The sequence below is a fragment of the Homo sapiens genome, chromosome 17, assembly GCF_000001405.40.
Source record: "Homo sapiens chromosome 17, GRCh38.p14 Primary Assembly".
In the NCBI taxonomy this organism is placed as follows: Eukaryota; Metazoa; Chordata; class Mammalia; order Primates; family Hominidae; genus Homo; species Homo sapiens.
In genome coordinates, this window is record NC_000017.11 from 22,266,378 (window position 1) to 22,288,347 (window position 21,970).

Below are 21,970 nucleotides of genomic sequence, written 5' to 3' on the forward strand. Positions count from 1 at the left end.
CGCCAGGCCTGAGCTGTAAATTCTGGCTAGCGTCACAATGAATGCCACCGTCACCTAGCGACAAATCCCTGCGGCTTGGCGGAGACAGAGAACTTTGTGGAGGTGCCTAGGCGGTGGACTCTCGCCTGTCTTCTCTGTGGGATCCACGGGATAGTCCCATGATCCTAGGAGAGGGCAGACGTGAGCCAGCCTGAAGAAACGCCAAGCAGGAGCCCCAGGAATAAACCGCAAAATCCCTAAGGATCCAAAAGGATCTGCAGGATGCCTCAGGCCTGCCTAGTCATCGTAGGGGTAAGTCTTTTTGAAACTTGCCCCACTGTGATTTTTAGATACAGCCCACCTGTGTTCCTCAGGGTTGCTCTCTCTTAGGTGGGGTTTCCTTCAGAAACATGCAGCCTCAGAAGCTGCCGGTCTGTGTGTTCTGTGGGAGTGTTACAAGTGTTGGAAGTCTGCGTGTGTGTGTGTGTGTATGTGCCTGTAAGTGTAGTCGACTTAAAGGAATGTGGCTAATGCACTGCAGCGCTTCTTTTTTTTTGAGTCTCCCAACCTTATGTTGTCCTGTCTGTGTGGCTCTGCTTGGTCTGCGCGGCTCGGTGCTCTTTATCTTTCTGTGGATCATGAATCCGCAGTGAATTCGGAGGCTGGCTGAGACCGGCCTGGGTCAAAATCACCTCCACTGCAAAAAAAAAAAAAAAAAAAAAAAAAAAAAAAGATGTTCTTCTAGAAAGAACAGGAGCACACCACACCCAAGAAAGGACATCTCCCAGTGTTTTACCGTCTTGCGTCCAAGTCAGGGAAAGACACTAGCAGTTCTGTCCGCAGGGCAGAATTTACATCGAATTCAGTTCCCAGCCGAGCAGGTACTTCCCGTCGTGAGGGGGCACTCCTCCATCATCTTCGGATTTCATTCAGGGACAGAAAGTGTGAGCAGCAATAAGGTCAGATAGGGGAGAGGATACAATCTGTTGTGGGGTGAATGAGGTCCCACACCTCTACCTGCAAAAAAGGTGAAGACAGATGAAGGTGCTTCCAGCTGCATCCCCTCAGTCCCTTAATTGCACAACCAGTACACCCATGGCCCGGTGTTCAGGTGGGAAAACTCCAAGGTGCAGGGAACATTTGGAGTGCAAACTGAGGCCATCCTGACAAACTCCCAATTTGGGGGCTTTTATACCTAGAGCCAAATGGAAGTGTGATGGGTTGATGCTGGGTGGGATGTGGCCACCGCACTTGCCTCTTCTTTTGCTGACTTCCATGTTCCTCATCGGCCTAGGGTTTCCTGGGGCTGGCTCAACGTCTTACACACTAAATGTTTCACAGTTCACAGAGGACGATCCTCATGGGAATCCATTACATGAGTGTTTTCTTCTAAACGCTGTCACGTTTTAATGACTGGCAGCTGTTATAATTTTAAAACCGTAAATTCCCATTACATTCACCAACAAGGAAACTCTTGTTCTCCCACTTCTATTGAAGGGCTGCATGATTCCTATAGGATGAGTAGCAGGCAGCCATGTCTGGCTTTTGCCTGGTAATCTAGGCTCTGTTTCATCTCATCTGCACGTCCTTTCTCATTGTGGAGGTTCTTTCATTGGGCTGTTGCTAGGTGGGACTGCCTCTCGCCATAAATCTTTTGGCTGCGAGGGATTTCAGGCAGCAAAAGGGACTTCAGGTAATCAGGCTGCCCTCCAGGTTGTGGGTCGTGGTCTCCTTTTGGGGCTGAGGTTGTTTGCACTTTGCAGGAGGGTTTTGGGTTTTCTGACAGGAAGCTTTGAACATTGGTTGGACTCCAGCGCAAGTCAGCTCGTTCTCTCAGGCAAGCCTTGATTTTTGTTGGCTTTCATGGGGGGTCAACAGTGCCCGTCCACAGCACTGCTGGGCACCCTTTTCAGGCTTGCAATCACCACAGACAACCTCTGAGACAATGTCTCAACCTCATCTGCAGCCATGAGAGGCCAGTTCGAAGTGTGAGAACACTGCTCTACCTTGGACTTGCATTTGTCGCGGTTTCTGCCTTTCCCAGAGATCCTCTGCGAGGCCCGGGATGAAGTAAGGCAGTGAGGCCAAGGGCCCGGCCATCTTTTGCTGACACCCGCCTCTGGGGTCTCAGTTTAGATTCCATCACCCAAAGACCCCTCAACAACTCACCAGACTATATTCCAATCCCCATGGGACCCGATTCCTGCAAACAGCCTCTTTCAGGAAGGGAGTCAGAAGAGCAGTTTCCAGCAACCAACTCACACTCTTGAAACGCCTCCTCCTCCAGCGGGACCCGACAACAGAGACGACCCGAGGGGGCCCTAAGGTCAAGACTTTTAGGGTCCCGCAATGGGTTATGGAAGGCAGCCTTTCTCCCGATACCAGGCCGTCTCTGCCTGTACCATTTTCTTCTGCTTGGGCAGGCTGACAGCTCTGACAGCCGGGCGCCCCGGTCCGCCTCGCTAATGCGCATGCGCTAGTTTCAGGGCGCCAGGCCTGAGCTGTGAGCTCTGGCTAGCATCACAATGAATGCCACTGTTACCTAATGACAAATCCCTGCGGCTTAGCTGGGAAGGAGACCACCGTGGAGGTGCAAAGGCGGTGGACTCTCGCCTGTCTTCTCCGTGGGATCCACAGGATAGTCCGAGGATCCTAGGAGAGGGCAGATGTGAGCGAGCCTGAAGAAACGTCAGGCAGAGCCCCAGGAGTAAACCGCGAAATCCCTAGGGATCCAAAAGGATCTGAAGGATGCCTCAGGCCTGTCTAGTCGTTGTAGGGGTGAGTCTTTTTGAAACTTGCCCACTTTGATTTCTAGGTATAGCCCCCTGTTTTCCGCGGGGTTGCTGTCTCCCAGGTGGGGCTTCCTTCAGAATCACTCAGCCTCAGAAGCTGCCGGGCTGTGTGTTTCTGAGGGAGTGTTGCAAGTGTTGGATGTCTGCGTGTGTGTGTGGCTTTGTGTATGTGTGTACGTGTGTGTGTGCGCGCCTGTAAGTGGAGTCGGCTTAAAGAAATGCGGCTAACTCACTACAGATTTTTCCCCCACCTTTTTGTGGCCTGTCTGTGTGGCTTTGTTTGGGCTGTGGGACTCTGTGTCCTTTGTGTTTCCGTGGTTCCTGAATCCGCGATGAATTGGGAGGCTGGCTGAGACCCGCCGGGGTTTAAGTCACCTCCCTCTGCAAAGAAGCCACTCATCTAGAAAGAAAAGGACCACACCACACCCAAGAACAGACAACTCCCAGTGCTTCATTATCCTGTGGCCATCCCAGAGAAAGACCCTAGCAGTCCTGTCCACAGGGCTCCTTGAATTTACCTCGGATTGGGTTTCCAGCCAAGCAGGTGCCTCCCATCGTGAGGAGGACACTGCTCCCTTGTATTGGGATTACATTTAGGGATGGAGAGTGTGAGCAGCAATAAGGTCAGGTAGGGGAGAGGATATAATCTGGTGAGGTGTGGATGGGGTCCTGCACCTTCACCTGCAAAAAAGATGCAGACAGATGACACAGAAGGTGCTTCCAAGTCCATCCTCGCATTCCCTTCATTACACAGGCAGTCCACACGTAGCTCAGTGCCCAGTTGGGAGTACTCCAACGTGCAGGGAACAGTTGGAGCACAAACTTGGGCCATTCTGGTCAGCTCCCAATTTGGGCTTTCATTCCTGAAGCCACATGAGATTGGGATGGATGGATGCTGGGTGGGATGTGGCCTCTGCACTGGCCTCCTCTTTTCCTCACTTTCACTTCCTTTCTCAGGGTCTTGGCTTGTTCTTTAGCCCAAAGGGAGTGGGGTGGACAGATTACCTCTGAACCTTGGGTGCCTTTGATTTCTTTCTTTGTATTTGATGTCATTACGATGAACATTGATGCCTGCTATGTGCCAGGACTGAGTCCCGGATTCCCAGAGGAAGGAGGCACCATTCCCCTGAGCCTGCTAATGGGTCTTCCATCCACCCTTCTCATTATAAGGCAGAGTTCAGGTTTTGAGACCAGGAAAACGTGAATTTGACTCCACTGGGTCACCTGCCAGCTGCTGACAGCCACTTAATTCCTCCAGGCCCAACATCCCTGTGTGTAAGCACAATACACAATTAGGGTTGCTGTCAGCCTTATGCAAGGGGAGGCTTGGAAGTGCTTGGCAGCAGCAGGTGGTCCACCCAGACTGTCTGGGTAGGCCTCGGTCTGCTTCCCTCCAGGTCTGTGCCACCTTCACTCAGGCTCCTGCAGAGGCAGTCTGTCACCTTGTGACCAGGCTAGAAAACAGCACCTGGCAGGAGGGCATGGGGACTAGGCGGGTCCCTGTCTGGAGCCCCTGAAAGTCGGCCAGGCAGCATCTCTGGGATGGGTGGCTGGATGCCAGTGCTCTTGTCCTGGCATCCCTCTGTTTCCTGCATAGGCTCGTGGTGGCAGACTTCCAGGCCTCTCCACATTCTCTGTCCTGGTGATGGTGGGAGTGTCTCCCCCTCTGAAAGGTGCCCCTGGAGGTTGGGAAATGGCCATGCCCTTTGAACCTCCCTTCTGGCCCAGGGTCTGGCTCAGACAGAGTGCACAGAGTGTGTGTTGAGGAGGGTAGAGGAGTGGCAGCCCTTTACCTATGAGCCAGTGCTCTGCAGGTCTACCCAAGGGCCAACATCCCAGGGGCCAGGCCCTAAGGTGAACGTGGCATCCCAGGTCCCAGCATCTTCTGAGAAGACATCATCCCAGTACCAGGGTCCCTGTTGGATAGTGCCTCTGCCCATCTCTCCTCTGGCTCCCAGCAGGTTCATGGTTGCAGTGGCCTGTGCAGGAGGGGTGCAGGTGATGGGGCCAGGGACTTTTGCAGGAAGGAACTAGGACATTGGCCAAAGAGGCTGCTCCCTGACCCCAATTGTGTCCCTAATTTACTATGTGACCTCCACAAGTCATTCAGCATCTCTGGTCCTGTTCCCCCCCCCACAACTATGTGATGGGCACAACAATACCACAGTCCCTGTGACTGTGTTTTATTCAGGAGTCAGCTGTGGGCCTCCCTGACACTCCATCCCCAACAAAGTCCAGTGTCAGGAGTTAGTTGGACCTCCACCTCGATCTTATATTTTCCAGCAGCATTTTGGGAAGGAATATCCTGAAAGGTGAGCCTGCCTGTTATCTCCTCAGAGGGTTCAGGAAAAGCCGGCCCTCTCTATCCCCTTTTCTCACCATGATCCTCCAGGTCTGTTCACCTAATCACTAGGCATGAACTAATTGAACATCTGCCAAGACCCAGGTGAGCTTTTGCATCTAGAGAGAACTAAGACACAGCCATGGTCCTGGGGGTCTCACCCTCTTAGATGGGAGGCCAGCAGGAGAGGACATGTGGGTCGGGTTCAAGAGTGGAGTAGGAAGTTGCGAGTGGCTAGTGCCCACCTGGGCATGGTCTCATGGGCCCTTGCCAGGAATGTGCATGCCATCCTGTGGCCTTTGTAAGGCTTTTAGCAGAGAAGGGAGTGGGATTGAGAAAAAAATCCCCATGGCCAGGGCTGCAAGAATGGCTAAGGTCCTTGGTGGTACCATGGGCATGTGGCAATGACCGGAGGTTTGAGAAGTAGAGTAGGCAGGGTCTGGTGGTCGAGGGGCATCTAGGGGAAATCAGACCGAGTTCTAGCTTCCCAGTTTGCACTCATGGGCAGACAGTGGTGATTTTACTGAGGGGAGATGACCTGAGGAAGAGTAGGATGGAGGAAACACCGGGCCTGCCTGAAGGTAGATGCCAGACAAAGGGAGGAAAAGAGAAGCCTGAGAGGAAGCAGCAGGTACAGATCAAGGAGGAGAAGCACAAGAGTGCTGGCCCAAAGGGCAAGAAGTGTCCAGAAGAAGGGGGCTACAGAAAGGTCAAGTTAGATAAAGGCCATAGTACACTTATCCAATGTGGCCACCAGAAGGCCAGCTGGTCAAGGGTGTTGCTGAAGGCAGAGGACAGTGGGTCAGGAGTGAAGGTGATGATGTGGATCGAGAGTGTAGACAACAGGCAGAAGGGGAGAGAGATGGTGTGGATAGAGGGGGTGTAGGGTCATAGATGGAAATATCCCCAAGTTTAGGTGGATGGGCAGGAGATCATTGCTGAGAAGGGATCTCATAAGAAAGTAGAGGTGGAGCAGAACAGAGGGGGCAACGATGTGAGGGTGGCAGTGACACAGGGTCATTGGGGAGTGTGTGGGGACACCTGTCTGTTGGGCATCGGCTCATGGCTTAGGGCAGGCTACTGGGCAAGCCCACAGACCCCTAGAAGAGAGGAGCTCCTGCCATGTATGGCGCAGTTTTGTCATTCACCATGCACTCTAATTTCACATACTGAGTACTTGGTATGTACTGGTCACTGTGTTGGACACGGGGGACATAAAATATGGTAAGACACAGTCCCAAAGGGGCTAACAGTACTGTGGCCTCTTACTCAAAGGCTTGCACCCAGGGTTAAGCTTCTAACAAGTTGGAAGGCAGACATAGGCACCTCCATTTGCCTTGAGTACAAACAGATGTTCAGAGAGGTTTAGTGACTGGTCAAAGGTCACGCTGCCAGGAAATGGCTGTGTCCAGGACAGTTGCAGGTCTCCTGCCCATAAAACCCACCCAGGCCACCAGGTTCAGTTTCAGCCAGGTGGCCTTCAGGGTTGACCACCCTGTTCGACTCGGCAAGAAGAATACAAGCCAAAGGCAAGCACGTACTCATTCTTCTGAGCATCCTCTGTGTGCCCATCCCTGTTGTGGGCATGGGCGGCAGGGAAGGAGACATGAATTCCAAATCGTGACCTTGCCTTCTGCAGCTGAGGGTGTAGTTGGAGAATTTGATGTCCCAGGAGAGGGATGTCTCCTGTTCCATGGCTGCCTAGGAGAGGGCAGAAAGCAAGCCCTCTTGAAGGAGAGAGAGAGGGGTAAGGGGGAGGTAAGCAGGGACAACTCTTCCCCTCCCTCAAAGGAGGCCACTCAGGAATCCCAGGGAAGCCAGACAAAAGCCTGTGGAATAAAGGGGCCTCTGAGCCTCCTCCCCACTGCTGCCATCCTGACTCAGGGATTTCAGGGTGCAGTCATCATTCCCACCCCCAAAGGAGAAAGCCCAGGCCGGTGGAGCCTGGCTGCTGCAACTTCTTATACAAGCAGCTCTGGAGGCCCCATATCTGAGCTGGCAGCTCCATTAGAGGGAGGGGTGGGCATTAGTATGGAATGCCAGCCTAGATGGATGGTCAGTGCCAGGTTCTGGGGCATAGGAAAGTCCAGGATCATGACCAGGGGTAGCTGATCACCAGGAATGTAGTTGGGACTCCATGCCCGAATGCTAGGGAGACTCAGAGCTGGATCTGGGCCACAAAGTGAGGGGACAGTGGCTGTTGGTTTATATTGAGGGGAAAATGGGGCCGACAGGACTAAGGCCCTGGGGCTGAAGGGCATAGAGCTCTTGCTAAAATTTGGGAGGCTCTGTTTAAAGGAAACTAGTGTTGATAGAATTTCCAGAGCTGCTGCCTGGGCCAGGTAAGACCCGCAGGACCCTTCTGTCCAGGTTAGGCTCCTGTAGGTGCCTACCCTATCTCCTCACCTTCTCCTAGCTAGAGGTCCCCTATGAGGCATGAAGCTGGTGGGGCAGAGGCCCCTGTCAGGGCCTTCATGTCTGCCTGGGGGCTGGACCACCTGGCCGGAAAAAGGAAGCCGAGGTAGCAGAAGGGCCTGCCTGAAGATCCTCTGAGTCTTCCTCCTCCTTTTCTACTCCTTGGCCCAGGTGGTTGTATAAATTACTATTCACCCCTATAAAAATTGTTTAACTCCATCACAAATATTTGGATAATAGGGGGATATCTCAATCTAATTACTGTTAGCATTTTGGTTTCTTTTCATTTATTCTCCTTCCTATGTGTGTGTCTTGGGGAGTTCCCATAGGGGCATCATAGAGTACTGATTATTGTGCATTCTGCTTTTTCACTTACCGTATTCACCTAGTCAGCCAGTGTCAGCTGCTGTACCAGGCACTAGGAACCAATAAAAAAGTGTGATTCCTACACTCAGGTAGCTTATTGTCCAGGACAGATTGGCCATCAAATCCAGTTAGGATGTGGTATGCAGATATGATATCATATGGTTATGATATGATATGGTACATCTTCAAGGAGCTGTGTCAGGGACATGATGGAGAAACCACTCTCCCAGGATCTTGTCAGCAAGAGGGAAATCCAGGAGTGCTTCCCAGAGGAGGAAGGTGTTGACAGAGGTGAATTCTAAAGGTTTCTACAGTTCCTTCTCATGAAACCGTCTGGACCTGGTGCTTTTTTCAGTGGCAGATTTTTTTATCATCAGTGGTAATTAAGTTTCTACTCATTATCTAGTTCATTAGGGGCACTTTATATTTTACTAGGAAAGCATTCATTTTCTCCAAATGTGTAAACTCTCCACTTTTAAAATTTATTATGAATTTATTTGTGGCCAAACAAATGATTTTTCTAAGATTTTCATAGACGTTGAAAAAATGTATATTTTCTATTTAAGGGATATAAGGTCCCATATATACCAAATCAAGTTTTTGGTTATTCAAGCTGTCACTTCTTTTGTATCCTTTGGGGGAGGAGGCTTTTACTGTAGTTCTAACAGAGATTTAGCCTTCCACTCAAATTTTCTCTATAAATCTCTTCTTTTACTAGTTTTTGCTTTTTATATTTACTATGATGTGGGGAGAATGCAGATTTTGAGTGTTCTTTATAATTTTCTCTATAAATCTCATCTTTTACTAGATTTTGCTTTTTGTATTTACTGTGATGCTGTCGGGAGCATGCAGATTTCGAGTGTTCTCTCATTATGAATTGTGCCCATCATTACATGGTGTCCCTCTTTATCCCATTTCAGTGCTTAACCTTAAATTCCACCCTTCTATTATTATTATGGCCACTCTTTATTTTACTTTAGCTTTTGCACTTTCCTGGTATCTCTTGGCATTCTTTTATTTTCCACCATTATCATTGTTTAAGTGTTTTTCTTGTATATATACATCACTGGGTTTTTTTGTTGGTGGTGGTGTTGATTGAGACAGGGTCTTGTTCTGTTGCCCTGGCTGGAGTGCAGTGGCAACATCACAGCTTGCTTCAGCATTGACCTCCTAGTTTGAGGTGATCCTCCCACCTCAGCCTTTACAGTAGCTGGGACTACAGGCATGCACCATTACACCCAGCTAATTTTTTGGTTTTTTTTTTTTTTTTTTTTTTTTTTGGAGAGATGGGGATCTCACCATATTGCCCAGTTATCACTTTATTTTTAAACCCAGGCTGACCTTTGTCTTTTAATGGGAATTCATCTGTTCACATTTCATTAAACAATTGATCTACTGTAGTTGGTTTTATTTCTTTTGGCTTATTTTACATTTATTGGTTTACCTTGTGGGTTTTTTCCTCTGGTTATTGATCACTCTGGTTATTAATTTCCTTTTTCTTCCCTTGTTACTCTTTCCATTTCATTACTGGCATCTACCCCTTCTCTGGAGTTCCTAATCAAACACATATTCTTTAGCATGTGATTCCATGGGGATTTTTTTTCTCAGCACTGTCATCTGGAGCTCCAATCTGTTGGTCTATAAGCTTAGGTCTTTCTTTCTGCTTCTGTAAATCTATTTGTTGTTTGATTTGATTGTTGTTTTTGTTGTTGTTTATTTTCTCTCTTCCCCTTTCTCCTTTCTTTTCTCTTCCTTTTTCCCTTTTCTTTCCCTTCTCTTCTCTCTTCTCTTCAGTCTCTTCTCTTCTTCTCTCTTCTCTCCCTCCCCTCTCCTCCCCTTTTCTCCCTTCTGTCATCTTCTTTTCTTTTCTTTCACAGGATCTCAGTCTGTCACCCAGGCTGGAGTGCAGTAGTGCAATCATAGCTCATTGCAGCCTCAACCTCCCAGACTCAAGTGTTTCTCCCAACTCAGCCTCCTCAGTAGCTGGGACTACAAGTGCATGCAACAACACTTGGCTAATTTTTGTATTTTTTGTAGAGACAGGGTCTCACTATGTTACCCAGGTTAGTCTCAAACTCCTGGGGTCAAGCGATCCACCCACCTCAGCCTCCCAAAGTGTTGGGATTACAGGCATGAGTCTCCATGACCAGCTCATTTAATCTTAGTTTGTGTGTTAATCATTTAACCTTCATCATTCCCCAAATCTCTCTTTAAAAATACCCTATAGATATGTAAATCACTGTAACTCTTATGTCTCTTCAACTTTTTTATATAAAGTGACAACTCAAAATACACTTTTCCATTTAATGTTATTTAATACAAACCATTCTATTTTTTATGCTAGTATCTCCATTTGGCCATAAAACAATATATCTAGAAATAAAGTGTGAGCTTCAACAGAAACAATGATCTACTGTTTCTATCAACTTTTGACTATCTATAATCCCTTCGCTTCCCATCTATCTTCCTCAAACAAATTGAACTTAATTGTCAACTTGAAATTTCTAGAGCTTATGCAACTTCAACTCATTTGTCTTTCCCTTGCTTTATTCAACTCTACTGCCAAAATTACAACCTCGGTTAAATGCAACTGTCTGTGTGTCTAATCCTTGCCAGCACCCATGCAGCTGAACATGCCCAAAAGAACAATATAACAATGATTTTCAACATTTTATATCCAGGCCAGAACTCTCCTCTGAGTTTCAGATTTATATATTTAAATGCTTACTTAACATCTCCAATTAACTATTTAATGGAAATCCCAAAATTAATATATCCACAACTGTCAAATTCTTCACCTACATCTTCTCCCATTTTACAAAAATTCCACTTTTTTCCAATGAACATTTACCGTATTCATCATTTTGCTCTAATGTTTCCTCAAAGTGGTGCCTACCTTAATCGTATTACTAAGTTTTTCTAAGCACTTCATTTTTCTGCCCTGCTTTGTTTTCCTCCTTAGAACCACCTGATGCACTGTATATTTTACTAATACACAGTTTGTTTCTCTCACCTGCTAGAATATAAATTATATAAGACCAGCGATTTTTTATATCATGTTTACTTTCCAATGCCATACCAAGATCAGTACCCGACACTGAAACAAAGGTAGATTATTCAGTTTTTTAAAATGTGTCCTGTGGATTACTAGAACTGCAAAACTCACTTCAATAAGTCTACGACACTTAAAAAATACATTCATGACACCTTATCTTCCTGGGGAATTACAGTGATTTCTAGTTTTTAAAAGTAAGAAGACATAAACTTCAGTTTGAAACCAGGACTCATCATCCCATAGTTAGAGCTGGTCTTCTTTGTGTGCTCAGGGACTACAGAGAGGTCCGGGGTGTTGGCCTCAGCCTCTTGGACAAGGGAAGTGGGCACCCTATGAGCTCAGGATCCCTGTCCCTAGCCTGGATAATGGCAGAATCTGGCTCAGCCAGGTCCCTGGCCTGCACAAAGCCAGTGGCACCAGGTGAACGTGCCCAGCTCAGTGACTGCCTGGAGCAGGTGTGGGGCAGCCAGACCCAGTGGGTGTGGGCTTGGGAGCCTAGCCGCAGAGGATGAGCAGGACAAGGGCAGTCAGACAGCCCTTAGAAGGCCTCCACCCCTGAGCTGCAGAAAGAGATCCCCTCATCCAGCTCCTCCCCAGGGGCCCACTCTGGATCAACAGGAAAATGTAGCCCCTGATGTGGTTGTGCATAACTGGACAGATGGGAGACATGGAGCTGAAGGCCATGTGGATAACCGCCTGCTGGTATCCCAGTTGACATCCCAGTACCACATATCGCTGAAACCCAGGTCACCACATCACCAATGGTCAAGTCGATGTGAACTGTTGATTGTTGACGAGTCCCAGGATCTTTTCTGCTCTTGAGCCTGACCATGAGGTAGTAGATGCCAAAGTCAGGCAAGCATTGCCAGGCCTGATGGAGGCACAGCTGGGCCTGGTCGGCAAGAGCCAAGCCACATTCTAGGGGCTTCCAGGATCCGTGGGATGAGCTGCTTGGCCTTGAACTTTTGTGGAAGGGCAGGGTGGGGGGTGTGGAGGGAGTACCAAGACCACAGAGGCTGAGGCCCCTGACAAGGGCGCCACTGCCCTGGGGGTGGTTGCCGAACCCGGTGCCTGTCTGCTGGAAGGCTACACCTCGCTGGCGGCTGTTCCCTGCATGGTGCAGCCCCTCCTGGGAAGCCAGTGGCAGCCCCTGCAGCATGCACCCAGCTGCTCCTGCTCCGCAGGTGGGGGTCGCTTGCCTTTGGTGAGTTGGATGCAGAACTCGCAGCCAGAGGCGCTAACACCAGAAATGCCCTCACAGCCCTTGAGGTTGAGCTGCCGAGGGTGTGGGGCTGGTGTCCACTGGGGCGTGGCCTGGCTCTCATGGCAGGATTGCATGGGTTCCTTGAACAGCTCCCAGTGCTGGCCTCAGCCCTTCAGGGTCAGCTTCTGGGGCTGGGAGATTTGAGGACACACCTTGACTTCTGTGACAAGGTGTGTCACAGAACACGGGCTTCCAGCCCATCTGTGGATATCTAGCCCTCCAGCTTCTCCAAGCTGCTGAGGGCTGCGTCCAGGCCATCCAGCCAGGTATCCACAGCCCATCTCCCCTCTCTGAGACAGCCTGATTCCATAGGATTGCAGAGATGAGACACCATCAACCCCTCCTAGATGCAGCCCACCCCTCCAGCAGCAGATCTCACTGAGCAGCTCGCACAGCGGGGTCCAAGCCGCAGAAGTCTTGGGGCTGAAAGTGCAGCCAGAGTCGCCTGGCCCTGGCACCCCGTTAAATGAGGCACCGCAGGTACCAGAGCCCGCTGTGCAGCAGGGATTCGTCCAGCGGGCGTTGGGCCCTGGCGGGCGAGGGAGGGTCGGGCGGCGTCGGTCACTGGCTCGGCAGGTGGTCGCAGGCCTGGATTGGCCACTGTCCCAGAAGTGAGCCAGCCTCCCCGGAAGAGCGCTGGAGCGAAGCTGCCCGCTAGGACCACCTTGGTCAGGTTGCACACCTCCTCGTCCGGTTCCTTCTAGTCTCAGGAGCTGGAGTGGGGCTGGAGGCAAGTGAGCCCCACCTGCGGGGCAGGAGCAGCTGAGTGCATGCTGCAGGGGCTGTCACTGGCTTCCCAGGAGGGGCTGAACAGTGCAGGGAACAGCTGTCAGCGAGGTGCAGGCCACCCTTGGCCTTTCAGGAGACAGGCGCGGGACTCGGGCAACCACCCCCAGGGCCTTGGCTCCTCCATCAGGGGCCTCAGCTGCTGTGGCCTTGGTGCTCAGGAACTGGAGTGGGGCCAGATCCGGGACGCCGGGCACTGTGGAGGCTGTAGGTGGCGGCTGCGGCCCAGAAGCACTGACGAAAGCACCTTGACAGATCAAGTCAAAATGTTACTGAGGGCCGGGCGCGGGGGCGCATGCCTGTAATCCCAGCACTTTGGGAGGCCGAGGCGGGCGGATCACGAGGTCAGGAGATCGAGACCATCCTGGCTAACACGGTGAAACCCCGTCTCCACTAAAAATACGAAAAAATTAGCCAGGCGCCATGCTGGGCGCCTGTAGTCCCAGCTACTCGGGAGGCTGAGGCAGGAGAATGGCGTGAACCCGGGAGGCAGAGTGAGCCGAGATTGTGCCACTGCAGTCTGGCCTGGGCGAAAGAGCAAGACTCCATCTCAAAAAAAAAAAAAAAGTTATTGAGAAGGCCAGTTCATTCTCTAGGATGCCAGTGGCAAACAAACATGAGGATGACCAGGGAGACGAGGATTTTGAGTGCTTACTTTATAAAGTGTCTATAATATCTGCAGCAGAAGAATTTAATGGCAAGTTGTTCAGAAGATAAGCCTGGAAATCTTAAATGTCCTATACTCATTTTTAATTATATTGTATGTTACATACTCTTTGGGGCAAGAATGATGGAGATTATGGAAGTGGAATAAGGGCTTTCCCTCTCTGTTTGCTTCAGACCACTTCTTTGTTACCATTATCACAATTGGTACAGTTAGCTGGATGTTGTGTTAAACACATTAAAGACATGTTATTGGATGCGCATTTTAACCATATGGGATAGGTTTTATTAACAGGGTGTGAATATGGCTCAAACAATTTCCCCAGAGTACGTAATGGATTAGCCAACACTAGTCTGTTTTCCTCCCAAGCCCTCTTGACTATTATTACATATTCTTCCCATGAGAGACCAGGAGATGCCTAAAGAAAGGGATCGAGGGAGCAGAAGGCGTTTTGTGAGGAGGAGATATCTGAATGGTACTTGAGTATAAGTTGCTACACGGTTGTGTGCTATGACGTCTATCCACAAAGAACCCAGTTTACCCAATAAAACCTTCAACCAACCTTCATATCTTAATTTTTCTTTGAAGTATTCCTCTGAGTGTTGAAGAGAAGTATGAAAATTTGCTCCACAGTAAACTGCAGAGATAAACAGAGATGGCTATGAAAATACTACAACTATTATTAAGGAAGACGGCTATTTGCCTTTTAGTATAAATTGAGTCAATGAGATGCATAAATATTATTTCCAATATCTGTGAATATTTGCCTAAGACATAATTTATTATTATTTTCATTTTTAATTTGTAGATACTATTGTACATATTGTGTACAATATGATGTTTTAAAGTATATATATTGTGGAATGATTAAATCTAGCTAATGAACATATGCATTGCCTTACATACAATTTTTGTGTTGAGAATACAACAATTTTAAATATTTGTCCAATTCGCATTTGGAAAATACAATTAAAATAAGCTTAAAATGCCTATAATTCACAATGCAGTCATAAAAATTAAACTGATGAAACACACTAAAGTCATTTAAATGTATCCTTACTCATTGTTCTTGATGATATAGTAAAGCATCATCAAAATATAGTAGTCTCTATTGTTTTAGAATTTGATTTTTTAGATCTGGTCATAATTATGCTGTATAGATAAAACTGTGTGTTCTAAACGGATTTGAAGTCAGAAACTTGCACTGCCAAGACAACACTGTGTCTTATCAGCTCTGCCTCAATTTGCAAATCACGTAAGCTTTCTGAACTCCATTTTATTCACTTGGGAAGTGGGACCAATACACTAAATATTTCAGTTAATACAAAGTAGAATACAAAAAGAATCACACTCTAGTTCCATTCCACATGAGCACTTCAGCTATTTTCCTCCAGAAATCACCTGTACACCATAGGAAAGTAAATTCATACCCACCTAGTTAACAGTGTGAGAATGTAAGTTTAAAGCATGTTTGACTAAGGAAACTTAATCATAATAAAATGGTTTAATTTCCCTGAGCATGAAATATTCTCCACAAGAAATGGCATGCTATGTTTAATTGGTTCTGGGAATGATTATCCAATATTAGTCACTTTCATATTAGTGTCCCCTAGAGTGGAAAATAAATAAGATAGTGATTGCACTTCTGCATGTCCATCTTCTGCCAAGACATTTTGCTAATGTGCAGTGTCTGCAACTTCCCATTTCTTGGCTAAGTTCAAGCTTTGTTAGTTTAGTGCTTAGGAAAGCCTCATGTTCTTTCAGAAATTCTTTTGCTCTCATTACTTTTTGTGATATTATGGACAATAATTTGCCTTGGGAACATGACAACTGATTCCAACAGTTGCCAATGTTGGGGAGGGAGGTGTCAAAAGGTAGGCTTTTTCAATGTCAATTTTAACCCAGCAGCAATTTCTGCAGTTGCAAATAATTCTATTTTCTTTCTGGTCACTTAAGTTCTGTCAAATTAAATTAGTGTTCAAAACTCATAGCACAGTTTTGCTTTTTTATTACTACATCTGCAATTTGATTAGTGTGATATATTTTCATATATGAATGAATATCAATTAAAGGCAATGAACATTTATAGGTAACTTTTTCAGCCACAGAGGTTAGTAATTTTAACATGTAAACCATCTGAATTCATATTGCAACCATATTTTTGTAATATAAGAAAATGTAGATTAAATAAGTTTTATTAGTATTTTAAATGTAATAAAATTATTTTCTGCTGGCTGCAGTGGCTCACGCCTGTAATCCCAACACCTTGAGATGCCAAGGTGGGTGGATCACGTGAGGTCACTAGTTCAAAACCAGCCTTGCCAACATGGCAAAATGCCGTCTCTACTAAAAATACAAAATTAGCCATGCGTGGTGGCGCATGCCTGTAATCCCAGCTTCCTGGGAGGCTGAGGCAGGAGAATAGCTTGAACCCAGGAGGCAGAGGTTGCAGTGAGCCGAGATCGTGCCACTGCACTCCAGCCTGGTCAACAAGAATGAAACTCCTTTGTAAAAGTATTTTCTTAAAATATTAAAATATAGTTTAATGTTTCATTAATATCATATGCCCATTAAAATGTTGTATTAAATAACTATAATATTACTGAGAATAACTTATGTTTCAGACATTTCACTTACATTATTTAAATCAGACTTCCTAATAACCCACGTATAAACCTTGGTATGAAGTAACTGATCCTGAGAGATGTAAATTATCTTCCCAAATTCATGCATTTATGAAGTTTATCAACTGAGTTTTCTGACACTATATGTAACATTTTTTTCTCCATGCCACGTTGGTTCCTGGCATTCCAAAGCTCTTGAAGAACATTGAAAGAAACCAATGGCCTTCATCCGCATTTCAACCAACAATGCTACAATCACCTTTGTTCACAGTCCTGTCTTCATACAAAAAGAAATGTTTCCATTAGTTTCCAGCATCATCTCACATAATTATTATTTTGGTTTAGAACACTAATCCACTCTCAGAATTTCTCAAAAATACATTAAGTTGCTAACAATAGTCAGCACGTTGCACAATAGATCTCTTGAAATTTTACTCCTTCTCTCTGACTGTAGTTGTGTATCCTTTGACCAACATCTACCAAAGTCCATTCCCAACCACATTAGCTGCTGGCAAAAAAAACATTTTACTCTCTGCTTGTTAACTTTTTTAGATTCCACATATGAATGAGACTATGTGATAATTGTCTTCCTGGCCTAGCTCATAATATTCTCCAGGTTCATCCATGTTTTCACAAACAACAGGATTTCCTTCTTTTCTGTGGCTGAATGTATTTCATTGTATGTATATGCCACATTTTCTCTACCCATCCCCCCGTCGATGGACACAAGTTGATTCCATATCATGACTACTGTGAATAATACTGCAATAAACATGGGAGTGCAGATATCTGTTCCATATACTGATTTTATATCCTTTGGATAGGTAGATACCCAGCAGTGGGATCACTGGATCATATAGTAGTTCAATTAAAAAATTTCTGGAGAACCATAGTACTTAGCGGCCTAATACTTAATATTTAATACATAGAGACTGTACTAATTTATTAGGTTAGTGCAAAAGTAATTGAAGTTTTTGCCATTGAATGTAATGGCAAAACTGCAATTACTTTTACACGAAATTAATATATTCCCACCAATAGTGTACAAGGGTTCCCTTATCTCCATACCCTGATCAACACGTTTAATTCTTGTATTTTTGATAATAACCATTATAATAGGTGTGAGATGACAGCAGAGTGGAGCTTTAGTTTGCATTTCCATAATAATTAGTGATGTTGAACATTTTTTGCATAAGCCTACTTGGCCATTTGTATGTCTTCTTTTGAGAAATGTCTGCTCAGATCTTTTGCTTATATTTTAATCAGTTCATTTGCCTTCTTGCTATTGAGTTGTTTGAATTTCTTATATATTTTGGATGTTAATTACCACAAAATTCATAACAATATAAGGTAATACATATGCTAATTAGCTAGATTCAGTCACCTCACCATGTAAATATACCTCAGAATATCATGTACAAAATAAATACATAAAATTTTATCCTTCAATTAAGAAATTAAAATAAAATGAAATTTTCAGCATGATAGACATTCAAATATATGAATCACGTCATCCCAACCTCTCTTTATCATTTTCAGTAGTTACGGGTGAAATCTGAGTCAGGGCTGATGTTCCTAGTTCCCTACTATTATATTCTTAATACACTGCAGTTTCTCAATCATCCTTATTAAAGCAGTTACCAAAATTTAAAAATTAATTTTGAGTGTACTATGATCATCTCTGGAAAATTATAATTTGAAGAAGTGCTTCTATGAATGGGATAAAATATTTCATTTTTTTCAGCATTCCACATTTTTGACTCATTGACTCAGCTAAACCACATAAATCTTCACTTTTTTCTATTTTATATATCATAATGCCTATCTTTCAGCTGTGAAAAATTATCAACTATATTTGTTTATTAACTTTGGGAATATGAAATTCAGATCATGATCTTCTATAAATAAAATTTAGAAGTTTTTTTTCTAACCGAAGCATTCAGACTTGAGCAAATGACAAATGTAGAATATTTTAAGTGTTGACAAATATATACATATAATATCAATGTTTTTGTGTTTCGAGTTTCTAAGCAATATTTGCTAGCTGATAAACTTATTTTTTATTTACTAATAAGAAATAATTTGGATTGCAGAAATCAAGATACTCTCCTTGCATGACATTAAGATTAATAGATAAATGTTATCACACCTACAGGCACATATGACACCACCAGAACTTTACCTAAATGATTGTTTTCCAACTTATGTAATTGTGGTTGTTTATAAACGTCTTGTTTATTGTTAATCTTTATTATAAACATCTTGTTTATTATTGACCTTGTTTATAAACTATCTTTACTAATTAGGAAACTTTTTTTTCTCTTTTCTTTTTTTTTTTCAGAGACAAGGTCTGGCTCTGTCACCCAAGCTGGAGTACAGTGGCACCAGCTCCACTCACTGTAACCTTTGCCTCCCAAGTTGAAGTGATTCCTGTGCCTCAGCCTCCCAAGTAGCTGGGACTACAGGCACGCACCAGCACACGTGGCTAATTTTTGTATTTTTAATAGAGATAGGGTTTTGTTATATTACTCAGGCTGGTCTTGAACTCCTGGGCTCAAGTGATCAACTATTCCTGGCCTCCCAAAGTGCTGGGATTACAGGCATGAGCCACTGTCCCTAGCCTCTGTTTTCTTTATTGCTTTATTTATCTGGTTTTGAGTTGGGAGATGATATTAAACAAGAGTTATAATTTTCCAAAAATTGAAATAAAAATAATTTTAGGCTAGAGGAAAATGCAAACAATAGCAACATTAGGATCTATTAGCTTATTTGAATTTTGTAATAAATAAAGATTTGATATAATGGGAAATTTAATATACTTAATATGTAAGTACACTCTCAATTCTTGAAGGAAATAATAAAACTGTATCAACATAGAAAGATATAAAAAAATGCTAAGTTGTCACAAAAAAAAGAAATTCACAAAAAAAGAAATTCCAAAGCAGAAGTCCTGGTATGTTACTATTCCAGACAAATCTGATATGAGAAAGCACTAAAGATAATTGAAACATTAATTTAATAATTAATTAATTAAAATAGTACAGTCCTGGATGTCTTTTTTGTGCTTTCTTTAATTTCTTTCCAGCTATATATAAATGTGTCTTGGTATGAATTTAAGTGCCTGGGAATGAATAGTACTGTCCCCCAGGATAATAAGTTATTAGCAAATTAATACCTTGCTTCTGTTAGTTGTCAACATGTTGCAAGTAAACATTGTTGATAGGCACTGTGGATCTACTAAGGGTAAGATATCATCCTTTCACAAAAGGATAGCTATTAAACCTGACTGTAGGTAAAGTTAAATTGCAACTAAACATATGTAGACATATACTAAGATTTTAAACATTACACAATATTTCTGACCAATAAAATATAAACTAGAGTCTAAACTGTTTGGTTAAGAATTTCATTGCTAGAGTACCCTTACAAGTTCTAACTGAATTTCCAAAAATCTAACATTTTGTTCTCAATAAAATAAAATGTGTTTAATAAATATGAAGCAAAAAACAAAATCCTAAACAAAAGCAAACACTGTTGATCAGTCAATTTAACATGGAATATTATTGCTATTATTTTTATTGACCAATAATTTATTTCCTGACTTTTCTTCTCAGATATGGACACTATTGATGGGAGCGGCTGGCCATCTGGAGTGGCAGTTGCCATCATGCCAGTAGCGCTTGGGCCGCATGGGCAGTGTTGTCAGGAGCAGCAGCAGGAGCAGCAGTGGCGGTGGTAGGACCCCGTTCCCTGTGTCCCCAAGGCATCTGACTGCGCCGCCGCCCCCTAATGGCTGGGCAGGACCCACTGCCAGGTGCAGACCCTCCATGGCGGCCTCAATTTCGCTTCCTACCACATCTGGGAGCCCATCAGCGCTGGCAGCCGGGTCTTGCAGGATTGGCCCCAGGAGCATCAGGTTCATTTGTGCGGCATTAGCCAGGGCCCCCATGCCACCTGCACCTCGCCCATGCACTACTGCAGGGAAAACGCAGAGAGGAGTCACGGCCAAGGCTGCACACTCTATGGAGCCAGTGGCAGCTGGGGACAAGTGGGAGCCCAGCCCCTTCCAAGTTGCCAGGGCAGGAACTCCCCAGGCGCAACTGCAGCTGCCCAAGGAGGGTCTGCGACCCAGGCACTCCTGTGCTCTTGGGAGCCAGGAGAAGGCAGGAGCCCCACCCTCCCAGGCACAGCTGGAGCCTTTCAAGCCACAGCTGCAGACCCAGGCACCTCTGCACTCTTGGGGCCTGGGAAGGCCCCCGTGACCACACAGGCTCGGAAGTGCCTGCCCCCACTGTCTGGGTTCTCCTCGCTGTCAGCACCTGCTCCAATCTTCGAGCAAAGTTGAGGTCGAGCACACTATATTGTGACCAATATAAAATAGATATAAAAATACCTCTTACACTTAAATCCAGGCATTGCCATTTGAATGACTTAAGAATATGCAGCTAAGGTGCTTTTAAAAATACAAGCTAGTGATTATACTGAATTTGTAAATCACGTAGGATAGTGAGTCATTTTAGAATATTAATTATTTCAGTCCATAAACCTGGATGTCTTTCCTTTTTTGTGTTTTCTTTAATTTCTTTCATTGATGTTTGTAATTTTTGTTATAGAAATCATTTACTTCCTCGGTTAAGTTTATTTCTAAGTACATTTTTGTAGCTATTGTAAAAGAAATAGCTTCCTTAATTTTTTTTCTGCTAGTTTACTATCAACATATAGAAATGCTACTGTTTTTTGTATGTTGATTTTATATCCTGCAGCTTTATTAAATTCATTTATCACTCTAAGAAGTTTTAGGTAGAGACCTTAGTTTCTTCCGTGTATGAGATCACATTGTCTGCAAACAAGGATAATTTGACTGTCTCCTTTCCAATTCAGATGCCCTTTATTTCTTTCTCTAACCTAATTGCCCTGGCTAAGACTTTCACTATGTGAAATATGATTGGTGAAAGTGGGCCTCCTTTTCTTGCTCCAGTTTTCATGGTAACATTTTTCACCTTTTCCACGTTCAGTATGATCTTAGCTGTAGGGTTGTCTTTACGCCCTTTTGTGTTGAGGCATATGTTTTCCACACTAAATTGTTTAGAGGCTTTTGTCATGTAAGAACGTTTAATTTTGCCAAATGCTTTCATTGTGTTTATTGATTTAATCATATGGTTTTCAATATATATCCAAAGGAAAGAAAATCAATATATCAAAGCCTTACCTGCACCCCCATGTTTATTACAGCACTATTCACAATAGCCAAGATATGGAATCAACATAAGTGTCCATCAACAGATGAATGGATAAAGAAAATGTGACATACATATATAATGGAATACTATTAAGTTATAATAAAGAACAAAATCCTGTCATTTGTGGCAACATGAATGCAACTGGAGGGCATTATCTTAGGTGAAATAAGCCTGGCATAGAAAAATAAACACCACAGGCCAGGCACGGTGGCTCACGCCTGTAATCCCAGCACTTTGGGAGGCCGAGACAGGCGGATCACGAGGCCAGGAGATCGACACCATCCTGGCTAACACGGTGAAACCCCGTCTCTACTAAAAATACAAAAAAAAATTAGCCGGGCGAGGTGGCGGGCACCTGTAGTCCCAGCTACTCCAGAGGCTCAGACAGGAGAATGGCGTGAACCCGAGAGGTGGAGCTTACAGTGAGCCAAGATAGCGCCACTG

General features: G+C 44.9%; 1 long non-coding RNA gene and 1 pseudogene across 1 annotated transcript; one reads left to right on the forward strand and one right to left on the reverse strand.

The window, feature by feature from the left end:
- The first annotated feature begins 86 nt into the window (after positions 1 to 86).
- Positions 87 to 21,646, forward strand: LOC105371597 (uncharacterized). The gene is made up of 2 exons (NR_188343.1): positions 87 to 291; positions 19,901 to 21,646. It is a non-coding gene; the product is annotated as an uncharacterized LOC105371597 (long non-coding RNA).
- On the reverse strand, positions 11,497 to 13,029 carry LOC100421165 (FERM domain containing kindlin 3 pseudogene; annotated as a pseudogene).
- Positions 21,647 to 21,970: the final 324 nt, after the last annotated feature.